The 15895-nt window shown below is 39.2% G+C and overlaps 1 long non-coding RNA gene across 2 annotated transcripts in view; it reads right to left on the bottom strand.

The window, feature by feature from the left end:
- LOC105379007 (uncharacterized) overlaps nt 1–6770 on the bottom strand; it is a 38941-nt gene extending 32171 nt beyond the window's left edge. For both annotated transcript variants that reach the window (XR_948392.3, XR_002956213.2), the window contains exon 1: nt 6573–6770. This is a non-coding gene — a long non-coding RNA (uncharacterized LOC105379007). The remainder of the gene's footprint in view (nt 1–6572) is intronic.
- Between the last annotated feature and the right edge of the window lie 9125 nt (nt 6771–15895).

Genomic DNA, 15895 nt, shown 5'->3' with positions numbered 1-15895 from the left:
ATTCTTTAAGGAAAATCAAATGCTCAGAATTGATTCATTCATAGTAGCTTAGCCTTGTTGTCCTAAAATTAATCAGCTGCAGACAGTATTTCTCGGGAGAAGGAGTATTTCATGGAACAAGGAGTAGGAGGATGACCATCCCTTACATTATATGCTAGTACCATATCAGTACCATCATCCACAGTTGTAAGATTTCTGTGAACATTTTACTATACAGTTATTAAATAAAATCGTCCTTATTACAACCTTGCGATGTAGGCATTGCTGAGACTGTCATCTCTATTTGGGCAAAGCGACTCCAAGACCTGGAGATGGTTAGTCTCTTCCCCGAGCTCACACAGCTAGTCACTAGATAGGCAGTGTAGAATAGCACAGGATGTATGGGAGGGAGGCAGACTGAAGTTCAAATCTCAGCTCTAGCACTCTCCAGTTGTTTCCTTGGAAAATCTTCCTAAGATCTTTAAGCCTCAGTTTCACTTTCTATGAAATAGGTTCATAGCATCTACCTCATAGTGTTGTTTGAGAATAGATATTTAATAAGAGGAGCTATTCTCTTCCCTTTCTCCCAGCCATGACCATGTCAGACATCATTAACCAATACCGCACACTTTCCCACTGAGCATGGAGCAGTCTTAGAAGCCTTCTCAAGCTGACATTCTGGACAGCTGTGCTATAGCAACTGATCAGAGTAGGCAGTAGATGTGGGACTTACTTGTCATCCCGGTCCTTAGGGTTATGCTCACTGCTGCCTATATTGATCCTTTCATCTGTCCTTCCAGAACACTCTTCATCAGCTTTTATTAACATCTTACATGAAAATCCAAGACATTTTTTAGCTGGGTCCATTTTCTCAGAATTCTCTCCTTCTCCTTCCTCCCCTCTGTTGCTACTAAGCCAACATGTTCCTATCCGACTGACTCTATCCCTGAGCCTGCAAAAGGCCAGCAGAGGAGAATAAATTAAATAGCTAAATGGAAGAGAAGAGTGAGATGGGAAAAAATATCCAGACCATCTTGTGTCTTTTGTCATGTGCTTTCTAATTTTCTGATTTTATTGGCATTTTTCATTTGAGGAGTTTGGTCTAGTGACAGTATTCATTGAAATAGCCAAATCCCTTAGTCTGAAGGTTAGCAGTTATACATGTACTTATAAATATATATAAAAGAGGTGCTAATAATATGTTCAGGGTCACCTAATGAGGCATAAATGAAAGTGGTAGACAGCAAAAGTTTGAACCCTTGATAAATCTGTGGTTATAAAAGTGAATTCTTGAATTTAACATTTACACAATTTTTTTGAAGTAGTCATCTCTTCTTTTAGATTTCAATCTTGTGATCAAAGAATGTACCTTTAAAAAAATATTTCAAGTTCGAAGTTTCATTTTTCTTGAATGAAAACTTCAAGTAATTGAATTTTCTTTCAATAGAATTGAAAATTCTTACACTGGAAAGAAAGCATGAGTTCTTATTTGCTCTAATGCTAAACAAAGAAAATGTTATCACCTCCATCTCTCAGGCTCAAATGTGGCTGAAAAAAACTTCACACAAACTCTGAAACAAAGCAAAAACAGCTCTCCCACTGGATTTATCAAATATTTGTGAGCAACTGACTTAAAAGCTTCAATTGAAGTCCTTCCTGACTTAGAATTCTCCTTGACTTGGTGTCAGTGTTCAGTTTATGAACAGTCTATTTAACCCCCACATAGTGCTTGGTCATCTTCAACCTTAAAACCATGCCTTGTGTTTCAGATTGTCTCCTAGATTCACTTGTTACCAAAATTTGTCCTGGGCTGCATTTCCTTCAGTGGCTCCACATAAAACAGATGGAAAATGGATAGAATATTGTCTGAAGGTCTAGACATAATTAATAAGATTTGCTTCCCAAAACCTGTGTAGTAGGGTGTGGAACAGTGGAGACAGTGTACTGTATCAAAAGTTCCCCATAAATGACTATAAATGTGGACTACCTGGGCTAGTCATGAGGCTAACATATTTCATTCAAGCATCTCAGTGGATTCATGCCAATCAATGGAAGACCCTAAGAAGTCCCTTCCAATTCTGAGACCACATGTTAGGCTGCAGAACCCAGTCCAAGCAGCACTCTTTACTATTTGACCATTTGGCTTTTGCTCTACAGAGGACAGATCACCCCAGGGATAAGTAGGAAGATTTAAAAGCCTTGTTCTTTTTTTCTTAAATGTCTTCACGAGCTGAAGGAACATTTAAAAATAAAAACAGACATTTGTTTCTCAACAGTCACAGTTCAAAATTGCATGTACAAGTCTCCCTGCGGTCATTTTTGAAACTTCAAAAGCTTTTTATGTTGCTTTTTAAACAGAAAAGCAATTTGGAAATAAAGGAAAGCATTTAGCATCCCCAAACAGTGACCCAGAGTATTGGCCCCCGTAGAGCACTATCAGATAACCTCGTTCCACCAGGACAGAAGAGTCAAGAGTGTGAACAAGACATATGTTAAAAGACCCACTTTGCAGATGTACATTGATTCCGGCTATCACTGGGGAGGACTCTGGGGAAAATTAGGAAAGACATATTTATCTTTGGCATTTCCTGCACTGTGCCACAGTGAAAAAGAACATGGGCTTTATAGTCGGAAATGTGGATTTTAATTTTAGCTCCACCATCAAGCAGCTGGGGGACCTTGGACAATTATTTTAACCCCGTGATCCTCAATTTCTTCAGAGCTAACATAGGAATGATGGTATCTCCTTTCAATTTTTGTGTTAAATGAGATATAGGCTATATAACATAACTAGCACATGAAAGACACATAATGAGTGGTAATTTCTTTCCCCTGCCTTCTCCCCACATCCCCAGCTACTTAGATCTCCACTCAGGGCAGCCTTCCTGGGCCTCACTTGGCTGCATTATAGGGTGGCATTTCCTATTAAAATTTACCCACACCATGGTGTAATTGTGTTCTCAGATCCCAGCTTGTGCCAGGTGGTCTAACCAAAATGTTCAACTCTCATATCCTTACGCTCAGCTCACAGATCATCGAAACGGTGCTGTTGGATTAACTTCTTATTCCTCCTAAGTAAGAGTAACATTTTACTTTTAACCTTTAGAAAAACAGTGTCTTAATGTAAAGGAATACCTATAATGGGGGGTGCGACTTCAGGCAAAGCAGGAATATGTGTGTATAAGGGGGATCATCTTTCAGTATTCACCCTTCAAATCACATAAACAAGTGCCTCCCTTCTACTTCAACACACAGAGCTGAAACTTGCTTTTGGTCCTCTGATATTAATGGTGACCTAATGGTGGAACAATAGGACTAGTGACCAAGTGCCTGTAATGTGTATCTAGAGGTTTCCCAAACTCCAGGCCTCTGCCTACCCTACACCCTTGCAGCTGGAATCCTTAGGCGTTACCTGGAGTTTCAGCCCCACACAGAACCTAGAAACAATTGCAGGCATTCTGCCTGAGGAGCTCTCAGACTCTGCAACCTCTGGTTCAGGAGTTGGCCATGCTCTGGCTTGATATCAACTTTCAGTGCTGACCTTTTCTTTTTTTGCTCCTCTATCACCAAGCTCCACACTACTTCTCCCTTTTAGTAACCAAATCCTTGTTTGGAGTCTCAATGAGGAGCTCAGATTCTCCCTGCTTGGATATTCCAAGGCTATCCTCTCACTTCCCTTCCACCCAGTACAACCCTTCCTCCTTCCTGTTCTCTTAGAAGCTAAGGTTCTGTGCCTGAATTCCATCTCTTCAATAAAGGGTACACTTGTTTTGGGATTTGTTGAGCTGCCAATGTCAGTGATACTACAGATTTGGTAGATACAAACAAGGAGTACCTTGTCCTTGCAGGAAAGTGTACATTGAAATGGAAAATGCAGCATAGCTAATGATGAAAAGTATTAATGTCAATATCAGGCAGACCTAAGGCTACACTTCCTACAGCTGTACTAGTGTTGGCAATTTATTTACCTTTCTCATGCTTTGGTTTCCTCATCTCAAAAACTGAACTAACAGTGCTTATCTCATAGGGTTGTTGCAAGGATTAGATCAGAAAATGAATATAAAGAAATTAGCACAATGCCAGAGACAGAGTAAATGCTCAAGAAAAATCAGATATTTTCATTAGTGTTAGCATGATGATTATTTAATAAGAGACATATATGAACACAAAAGAGAACGGTGGAACAGGAGGATTAGTGACCAAGTGCTTGTAATGTGTATCTAGAGATTTCCCAAACTCTCAGCCTCTGCCTACTCTACACCTTCGCAGCTGGAATCCTTAGGCCTTACCTGGAGGTTCAGCTCCACACAGAACCTGGAAACATTCCTGACTTCTGCCTATGAACCTCAATGCATCAAATAATGTAGAAGGCAAAGATAAGTATAGCTTATATTCTTAAATAATATTTTCTCAAATAAAGTTTGAGAAAAAAATTGGGAGTTCAGTTGACATGTAGTTTCTATAGTGACCACATTAATAGGCAGCTGTAGTACATGCAAAGAGGTTGCCTCTAAGTCAGGGAAGATATTTCCTTAGCAATGGAAAAGACAGCAAGACCAGACTCAGGAATAAAAGTTTTGCTTGGGGGTGAACCCAAAACACAGAAAGAACAAGAATGGACATTGGAAGTATTTGAAAAGGTTTATCTGCCATTTCAGGTTAGTTTTTTACTGCGTTTTGGAAAATGACATCCTAAACTTCCAGAAATTCAGTAATTCATCACTGTAGAGATAGAAACTATAAATTCTGCTCATGTATTAATCATGGTTTTTTATTTTCTATATTTCATGATGTTTTGACATCTTGGGGCCTTGTGGATCTAGTGAAAAACTGACTGCCCCTCTCAGGGTTAGTTAATTCCTAGGGAAAACAAAAAACTTACCTGTGAACACAGCTTTCATATGTAAACCAACCAATCCTGGATCCCCATGTGTCTTCTGTTATTGGATTTTTACAGTCCAGATCACACCAGGGCTAGGTACAAAACAATCAGAGACCACTCCTACAGCCCAGAGCTCGCCCAAATTGTTCAAACCTTGCTATCCTAAGCCTGCTCAGCTGCTTAATCTGCCTCACCCATTTCTTCATGCAAAAGACACAATAAAGACTGTGCCCCCTCCCTCCTTCTTCCTCCTGATTGACCATGGTACTTCCCTGTGGCCCTGCACAGTATTTGAGCTCACTCCTCTTGGACACTATGACAAACTATCGTTTCGGTGGCAACCATCTTATCTGTTGGCCTCACCATACCTGAATAAAAACAAAATCCTAGGTACACTTGAAGCAACCCAAAGCAAGAGAAATCTACATTCAGAAGCCTGCAGCTTCTGGCTGGATTATCTTGGCAAGGCTCAACCGTTTAGAGCCTCAGTTTCCTCATCTATAAAACTGAAATAATAATTATTATCTAGCAGAGCCATGGGGAGAATTTATACGTGTGAAAGCACTCATCATAGTTTATGCTTACCTAATGTTTGTTCCTACATTTGTTTAATTACCCATTCATTCATTGCTATCCACCTGTAGTCTATAAACACAATTCAATTATTACCTTGTCCATCCTTATTAATTCTATAGTAAATTCTGATGCTCTTTCCAAGTGTATCTATGGCTTCTGAGCACTGTCATGAAATCTCACTCTTTTTTCACTCTGTGTGTGGCTTCACCGAGAGCTCTCCCCTTGAGTCCCTTGGTTGATTTCTGCCACAGCTATTATAAAGTCATGCAATTTTGGAAAAGGCCAGTCTCACTGTTTATGCTGACATCTGTCAATCTTATCAAGCAATTTTGTCTACAAAAGGGGAGTCAAAAACCTTCTGTTGGGCAGAAAAAGAAATCACATTTTTGGCAGATAATTAGTAAAATAAACATCTGAAAGCTGTAGATAATTTGTATTGCACTACAGGCTTTGTGGATGTTTTACCGCCTACGCTCCTCTAATTAGGGAATAGGGCTGATAAATGCTGAAGTGGAGAGAGATCCCTGAGACACAGAGCCAAATGCTCCAGCTGGACTAAAATTACCAAGAAGATCAATTAAAAGAAGGAAGATGACCAGTGTAGCAAAGAGCATCAGGGTGGGGTCAAATTTGAGACAGATGGCAAATGAGGCAACTTCAAGAGAGACAGGCTGTCCCAGAGTTTTTTTATTGTATTCCTGATGAACAAGACTAAGGAGAAATCTGAACACTTAACAAGAACTGTGCAAAAAGATCTGGCACCAAATGCAGGGTGGGATAAAGAGAGACACTGGCCTTGGACAGCCCAGACCTGGTTCACTGGCTCAGGCAGTTCTGCCAATGAGGTTTCCCTTTTTAGGGATGGCAGACAAGAGACCACTGCAGTGGTAAAGGAAGTAATATTTTTAAAAATGTATAAATTATGAAGAGCTATATAAGAAGGGCTATTATCAATGACAGAATTGCTGTGCTTCAGTCTCTTGTTTGAAAGAATAAGTACAAATGTTTAAAAGCCCAGTCTCTGGAGTCAGATTAAGTAGGCTCAAATTCTAGCTTTGCTACTTGTTCTTTGTGGCTTGACGTTTTGAACCCTCAGCCTCCTTACTGCAGAAATAAATAAAATCATAGTGCCTACCTCATGGGCTGCTGGAAAGGTTAGAGGAGGTCTGCACATAAATCTCTTCTCAGAGGTCCTAGTTCATAGGAAGCACTCAGTAAGTATTATATATTAATATTTGCCCAGCCTCCTCAGGTGCCTGTTGCAGGTACAACTGCAGGATTTTCCAAGCACAACGGCGAATTATCTCCTGCCCAAGCCTCTGACACTCCAGCGAGGCTTTCTCTGTGTGAGTGGGTCTGTTAACGTTAATGGGGGTGCAGGGGGCATGGAGGGGAGGAGGCTGACTAGGAAATTCCTATCATGGCTACAAGTTCCTGTGGAAGTGTTACAGTGTTTAATGTCATTGTTCTAATATCACCCATATTTGATATCATTGTTTGAGATTTTGGCTCAGAGTCCACAATTTACTATTCTGTGGAGTTGTTGGACTCTTGGACTGACCTAAACATTTCTAGAGTGAGATATGAATTCTACACCTTGCCTTGGATAATTATTACCTAATTAGCAACTTAGTGAAATACTGTTTTTGTTTGTTTGTTTGTTTGTTTGCTTTTTTTGCTAGTATTTCCCCAGCACAGAATTTCTCCACACAAATTCACTTAAGCCTTTTGATGGCAAGCTTGAGGAGCAAGTGCCTTTTTGTTGTTCTTTGTTAAAATAATTCCCCTGTTGTACGTGTCTTGCATGAGGCTGCTGTCAGTAAGAAATGCCTCTAGTCACCATTCAGCCATCTAAATATAAGACATTCCTTTGTACCAACTTTCACGTATGTATCTCCAGGCTGTGCAAATATTAAGAGTAACCTGGTTAAATTATCTCTGACTTTAAAGGAGTTCTGTACACCATAGGATTTCATAGTCCTGTGACTTAACCCTTGAATTTCTCTAATAACCAAAAGAAAAAGGTTCTAAAAAGTGCTTATTACCTTTTTGTAAAGTTCTACTCTTTTCCTGCCCTTTCAAGTGCCTGAAGATCAACAGTTGTGCAATTAATGCAGTGCTCACTGCATTTTTTTTTCCAGATGGAAAACATACCCACTGTTAAGTAGTTTGGGACAGCGTCTCATTTGAGCAGCTAAAGAGCCAAAGTCCCTGCTACCCCACTAGATAGAATCCATTGTATATCTATGAATAAGAAACCCTGGCATCTGGGGAGCTGGGCAAAGTAAGGGGGCTGGGACATACACTGTGCCAGGACCAAGTTCCTGTGCTGGATGGCCGATTGTAGAAGAAAACCAGGCATCAACAGGGACGGGTGCAGTGGCTCACGTCTGTAATCCCAGCACTTTGGGAGGCCGAGACAGGCAGATCATGAGGTCAGGAGTTCGAGACCAGCCTGGCCAATACGGTGAAACCCCGTTTCTACTAAAAATACAAAAATTAGCCAGGCGTAGTGGCGGGCGCCTGTAGTCCCAGCTACTCAGGAGGCTGAGGCAGAAGAATGACTTGAACCAGGGAGGCGGAGCTCACAGTGAGCCGAGATCACACTATTGCACTCCAACCTGGGTGACAGAGCAAGACTACATCTCAAACAAACAAACAAACAAACAAACAAAAAACAAACCAGACATCATCAATTCAAAATTAAGAGATGGGAAGAGAAGACTGATTTGCTGGGCAACTGGTTTCATCTGTAATGAAGATTATAGTGCTCAGTGACCAAGTCATATCTAATGAGATAAATGTGTTAACGTATTTTGGACACCAGAACACTAGACAGCTGTGTAATTTTAGGAACTCTCAGGGTTATTTTAATTGTTGATATTATTATCTTATTGTAACTGGTAGACACGGAAATTCATGTCTAGGTGCATTCAACATGAAGGAGTAAATTACTACAGTGCTCTGAATATTTCTGATAATTGGAAAACATTTAAATCCCCCAATTATTTATTTTAAAAATAGAACACTATAGAAAAGTTGAAAATAGTACGAGTCCCCTTTTTTCCTTTACTAAGATTGTGCAATTTTACCATATTTGTGACACTTCTCTCCCTGTCTTATTTATATTTATTTATTTAAAGTACGTGGAAGTACTCACCCAAGATATTGACACTTATTCCATATTATCTAATGTGCTGTCTATATTTAAATTCCCCCAATCATCCCCAATATATATTTTATAGAATTTTTTTAAATCAAAGATCCAGCCAAGTTAGCATGCTGTATTTTGTTGTTACGCTTCTTTAACTTAGAAAATTCTCCTCCACTTTTGTCTTTTTTGCTTTTTATGATATTGGCTTTTTTGAAGAGTCCAGGAACTGTCACAGAGTGTCCCACATTCTAGATTTATTTCATTTACTCCTTAAGTTTACATTACTTTGAAACGTTTCTGGCAAAACTACTACATAGGTGATATTGTGTGTTTTGCTGCTTCTCATGAGGGGGCACAAAATGTCAGTTTGTCCCTCCATTCCTAACAGTAACGCCTTTAAGGTTGGATTTGGCTGGGCTCTCTTAGGGAGCATTAGCATCAAGACTTGTGGCCACACCCCTTGGCACACTGCCCTTCTACAGCTTTCCATGAGGGCATGCCTGCTGATGACCCTGGGGACCACGTTGGGCCATCAAGAAATAACCAATAAGAGTGATTCTGGAGAAGCTTCCCTTTGGAGCCTCCAGTTTCATATGACAGTCTCTGAGCCAATCTATCCAGAGGAAAGCTTAATTGGCAATTGGCATGCTGCTGAGACTGACACCCGGTAAGCCTCACCTTTATAACTCCAGATTCCTTTCATAATGATGGCTAGCCATGTACTGGCTAGTTTCCAGTTCTAGGCATGACTAGGTGGGCAGTGATATACTTTCGGTTTTCTTATCTGCTCAGTATACATGTGCATGGGCAAAAGACTTCACACACGACATTCATGAAATTTAGTGAGACTTGGCTAAAGATTACCAAACATTCTTAGGGACCTGTCTACCTGAACAAAGGAGATGAAGCAGGGAAATGAGAAAAAAAAAATAAAACCTCAGATTCCAAAAACATTTATTGAGTATCTGTTATGCACTGGGTGCTTTCAAATGCACTGGCTCATATTACATTGCATAACATTGATTCTTCAGAAATATTGCTCCAGGATTATAGAATGGAACTATAATGTTTTATTATCACATCTAGTTCTTTAGTGGGTCAGACACAATTTAGTAGGACTCAGTGAGATAAACCAAGTCTTCAGGGGTTGTCGAGCCTTACAGTTTACAAAGCACTGCCACAAACAGGAGCTCATTCAATCCTCACAAAAGCCCCTATATAGCAGGCTTTATTATTCCCATTTGCCAGTCAAGAAGTTGAGATCCAGGTAAAGTACCTTAGGGAGGTGACAGAGCTGGGGTGCTGATTCGTCTCTTCTGGTCCCAAGTCTGCCGTGCCTTCTCATGCTTTGGGGAACGACGTAGATCTCATGGCTGGTTGTACTGTGGAACCATGGCCCTCAGTGCTCCTTTACATGTTGACTGTATTAATTTTGGTCCAGCACATAGCCACACCCATAATAACAGCAGCAGCAATAATAATGACTACAGCCACATTAATAATAACAATTACTTACTTTTTTGAAATTTGACATTGTCCTGTCTTCAGGTCAATTTCTCCAGCAAGATTAACTTTCCAGAAAGTTAACTTTCCAAAAGAGTTGATGTAAGTACCTACTATAGCATTACTAATATTTAGTTTCTTTTTCTTTTCTTTCCCCAGTCTAATCGAGATATAATTGACAAATAAAAATTTTATATCCTTACAGTGTACAATGTGATGTTGTGATATAATATGTATATATTGTAAAATCAATCAAGCCAATTAACATATCCATCACCTCACATAGTTATCTTTTTGTTACGTGATGAGAACATTTGAGATCTATTCTCTTAGCAAATTTAAGTATAAAATACAGTGTTTTAAACTATAGTCACTATGGTGTACATTAGATCTCCAGAACTTATTTATCCTGCCTAATTGAGTTTTGCACCCTTTGATCAACATTTACCATTTTCTCCACCTCCACCTTCACCCCCTCCACAGGCCCTGGCAACCACTATTCTACTCTGCTTTCATCTATGAGTTTGACTTTCTTTTTTTTTAAATTTTATTATTATTATACTTTAAGTTTTAGGGTACATGTGCACAATGTGCAAGTTTGTTACATATGTATACATGTGCTATGTTGGTGTGCTGCACCCATTAACTCGTCATTTAGCATTAGGTATATCTCCTAATGCTATCCTTCCCCCCTCCCCCAACCCCACAACAGTCCCCGAAGTGTGATATTCCCCTTCCTGTGTCCATGTGTTCTCATTGTTCAATTCCCACTTATGAGTGAGAACATGCAGTGTTTGGTTTTTTGTCCTTGCTGAGAATGATGGTTTCCAGTTTCTTAGATTCCACATAAAAGTGAGAACATGCGTTATGTCTTTCTGTCCTTGGCTTATTTCTCTTAGAATAATATCCTCTAGATTCATCTGTGTTGTCATAAATGACAGAATTTTCTTCTTATTTAAGGTTAAACAATATTCCATTACATGTATGTTTCTGTCTGTCTATCTATCTATGTAATCTATCACATTTTCTTTATCCATTCATCTGTCAATGGCACTTAGGTTTTTTGAGTAGCCTTCCTATTGTTTTCCATACTGACTATACCAATTTACATTCCCACCAACAGTGTGCAAGAGTTTCCTTTTCTCTACACCCTCACCAACACTTGTTATCTCTTGTCTTTTTGATAATGACAGTCTCAACAGGTGTAAGGTGATATCTCGTTGTGGTTTTGATTTGAATTTTTCAGATCATTAATGATCATCTATTGGCCATTTTTATGTATTCTTTGAATAAATGTTTATTCAGCTCATTTGTCCATTTTTTAATACTGTTATTTTTCTTGCTATTGAATTGATTGAGCTCCTTATATATTTTGAGTGTTAACCCCTTACCAGATGTATGGTTTGCAAATATATTCTTTCATTCTGTAGATTATCTCTTTCCCTATTGGTTTCTTCCTTTGCTGAGCAGAAGCTTTTCAGTTTGAGGCAGTCTCATTTGTCTATTTTTGCTTTTGTTGCCTGAGCTTTTGGGGTCATATCCACAAAATCATTGCCCAGACCAATGTCAAGAAGCTTTTTTCCTATGTTTCTTTTGACAGTTTTATAGTTTTAGGTCTTACATACAAGTCTTTCTTCCACTTCAAGTTGATTTTTGTATATGATGTGAGAAAATGGTCAAATTTCATTCTTCTGCATTGGATATCCAGTTTTCCTAACACTATTTTTTTTATTTTTATTTTTTATAAGATGGACCTCATGCAAGAAATAATTTGGGGTGAGTCTATAGAGCAAAGTGACGGCAATTTTATTAGGAAAATAAAAGAATAAATTATGGTTACTCCATAGGCAGAGCAGCCATAACACCATTTATTGAAGAAAATGTTCTTTCCCTTTTATGTGATCTTGGCATTTTTGACAAAGACCAAGTAACCATAATGTGTGGATTTGTTTCTGAGTTCTCTATTGTGTTCCATTGGTCTGTATGTCAGTTTTTTATGCCAGTACCATGATGCTTTTATTACTATAATTTTGTAGTATATTTTAAAATCAGGTAGCATGATGTTTTCAGCTTTGTTCTTTTTGCTCAAGATTCCTTTGGCTTTGTGGGGCCTTTTGTGGTTCCATATGAATTTTATGATTGCTTTTTCTATTTCTGTGAAAAATGCCATTGGGATTTTGATAAAGATTACATCAAACCTGTAGATCACTTTAGGTAGTATGGACATTTTGACAATATTAATTCTTCCAATCCATGAACACAAGATATCTTGCCATTTATTGAGTCTTCTTCTATTTCTCTCATCATTGTCTTATCATTTTCATAGTAGAGATCTTTTGCCTTATTGGTTAAATTTAGCAAAAGGTGTACAAGAAGAAAAAACATTCCACCCCACTGGGAAGAATTCATCAGGATAGATTTCGATGAAGCACGATCTTCAAGTCACATGAATGTGTGCAACAGAAGATGGGGTTTTGCCCTCGTTGGTTCTACTTGACAAATGAGGAACAAGCACAGCTGACTGTATTCATCCAAATTAGTACTCACAGTGCTTCCTAAAGGTCTTAACTCCAATTAGGAAGGATCCCACAGAAGGACTAAGTGGGAATGAGCTGCGTTCACAGTTTCACCAAGTGTGGTATTAATATAATAATAAAATCTGCAATTTGTACCTGCATTAGTTCCTGTTGCTACTGTAACAAATTATCACAAATTTAGTTGCTGAAATCAAAATAAATTTATTTTCTGATAGGCCTGGAAGTCAGAATTCCAAAGTCAGTTTTACTGAGATAAAGTCAAGGTTTTGGCTGGGCTTGTTCTTTCTGAAGGCTATTAGGGGAGAATCCATTTCCTTGCCTTTTTTAGTTTCTCGTGACTACTTTCTTCATCTTCAAAGCACATGGCTCCAGTCTCAGCTTCCCTCATAACATTACCCTCTTGGTTTCTGGAGTCAAATATCCTGCTACTTCCCTCTTATAGGGACAGTTGTCACTTTATTTAGGACCCGCCCACATAATCCAGGACAATTTCCCCATCTCAATATGCTTAATTACATTTTGTTGCCTTTTTGCTGTGTGTTAATAAGAAAGAGCAGTGAATGAAGAGGCAGAAGAATTCAGTTCAAATTCTATTAGTTTCCTGAACATAGTTATTTCTTCATGTAAAAATGCAATTGATAATAAAATCAGCTACCATAAAGGTTGTTGTGAGAACCCAATGACACATACATGTGAAAGTGATCAGTAATTTAATCACAGCCATGAAGCCTCTTCTGCTATATGAGGTACTGCTCACAGGTTCTGAAGATTAGGATGTGGATATCTTTGGAGATCATTATTCAGCCTACCCCGGTACCTCACTAAGCACTTTCACATATATGTGTCATCGAGTTCTCTTGATTTTTATGGTAGCCGATTTTATTGTCAACTTCATTTTTACTTGAGGAAATAACTATTTTCAGCAAACAAATAGAGCTTGAATTTGAACTGAAGTCTTCTGCCTCTTCATTCATGGCTCTTTCTCACTAACCCACAGCAAAAGGGCAGGGAAATGTAATGAGAGGTAAGGCTTTCCAACAGGTTGAGCTTTTGGGGTCATATCAGGTCAGTCAGGGGTCAGAATCTACATCTTCAGTAGAGAAAATTACTACAAAGAATTGTTAACCAGATACAGGCAGTCTGCTTGGCACAGTAGTATGGGACTATAAAAATGATTTTGCAAGCTGTACTCACACAAAGCAATCTTAATCATCAAGGAGAAAATTATGATTGTTCTGTGACCCTTAATAATTTTTGTCAAAATATTAAAAATCTCTTATTATTGGTTGTAAATGTGTAGGGAAACGAAACGCATAATAAAACAAACATTTATTTGGAACACTATGAAGCCTTAGAAACATGGAGATTTAAAATATTTTCTATCTTTCTAAAAACCTTTTCAAGAATAATTTGAACAGTGCTGACCTTCTTCTTGTCTTATAATGAACACTACTGAGCAAACATGTTTTCTGCGCCTTGGCAAATTGTCATACTCCTTTCTAAGTTTGGATCAGCTTTTAACATTTATCTTTCTTGCCTTCAAAGTCATAAAATATCTCTTAGAGTTTCTTTAAAGTGAAGTTTTGGTTTTTTTTTTTTCCAATGTTCCTTTCTTTGGGATATTATCATCCTTTATGCCAAAACCATGTTTCTGATTTATGTTACATTTCCTTTCCCTGGCTTCCTCACACCACATATCCTGACTCTCTCAAATGACAGCAGTGTCAATGGTCTCACGGTCACCTATTTTTTTTTTTAATAACTTCATTTATGTTGGGTTTGAATTTCACTTCCAGTGGTATCACTTGTCAGTTCTTTGCTGCATTTCCAACTTTGCTGGCCGATCCCCTCTTTTGATTTTCTGTTTCTATAAAATGTTATGTGGGTTTATCACTGGGAGGCAGGGAGGCAACACATCCATATGCTCTGCTATCTGTGTATGAACTGAATAACAGATGCACAGTAAACAACAAATGGATTGAGGAAAAAAATGACGTGATTGGTCACTTATCATGATACACATGTTATGTATGCAGATTTGTGGACTTAAGAGAACAATAAAGCTTGTACTTTACAATTACTCACAGTTAACATACCATGGTAACTGAAATTTGACTGTGTTATTGGGGGTACTGACATTATTTAACCAAACTCTTAAATTCATGCACCTCAGAACTGTGCAAAGTGAGGACTGCCTATATTAAAGAAGTGAAGAGGCAAGAAAAGGATACCAAATTATCATACAGGCAGTAACTGCAGGAGGCAGCTATTACACATAGGGCTGGGGAAATAAAATGAAACTTGGGTGTTTTTAAAGTTTAGAGACTTGGAGGAGGGGCCCATGGGAGCTGGACTTAGGCTTCTGAAGAGCTGCCTGCCATGAGGCTGCTGTAACAGCTGCTACCGGTTAAAGAAGAGATGGATGCTGCAGTGACACAGACAAGAGCAAGTAGCAAAGTGAAAAGGGTAGGTCTCTTTCCTCTCCCTCTCCAAGCCTTGCAGCCTTCCCTAGAACCTGATTAGCAGAGCCTAACGTGGAGCCAGGTGATGAAGGAAGACTGGTTGGCAGACTGGCAACATCACAAAGCAGAGAGGAGAAGGGTAGGCCTGAAGTTGAGATATGAAGCTGAATAACCAGGACAGTCTTACAGTCTCGGTCTGGGTCAGGATCCTTTCCCTGTTCTCCCTCCTGTAAGTGCTCCTCCTCATTAGCTCTGCAGACACAGGGCACCATGGAGAAGCTGCAATGGGAGCAAAGTTAGGATCAGGTTCAGCAGTGGCAGGTGAGGTCTGCTGACCCTACTACCTGCACAGGTGGCAACTGTGACATTTTAGTTCTGCTTGCAGTCTTGAGCCCAGGAGAGGCAGGAGCGAAGAAGAGAAGTGAAAACAATGTATATGGTGACCTTCTAGGGAATAGGATTGCTGGAAACAGTGAATAGGAAGCGCCGGCACTTGGCTAATCAGAATCATATGGTGCTGCGCCCTGAATACTGAAGTGTCACCGCTGAGCACTCATACTAAGTAGCCAAATGCCCAGGGCAGATTCTGGACTCTTCTGCTGCAATGCTCCAGCAAGACTTAGTCCCAGAGTAACACTGATGTCCTTTCCCTGGGTCTTCAAGCTTTTACTTTACTCAGTTCTAATAGCCAACTATTCCACAGCCTTTCCTATTTACCTTAATAAGAATGCTATATATTTGGATAGCACTCCATGTCTTTCAAAGTATCAAAGTTCTTGAGCTTGCTTATTTCATACAGCAG

The sequence above is a fragment of the Homo sapiens genome, chromosome 5 (genome assembly GCF_000001405.40).
Source record: "Homo sapiens chromosome 5, GRCh38.p14 Primary Assembly".
Classification (NCBI taxonomy): Eukaryota; Metazoa; Chordata; class Mammalia; order Primates; family Hominidae; genus Homo; species Homo sapiens.
This window is presented reverse-complemented; position numbering and strand designations above follow the sequence as displayed.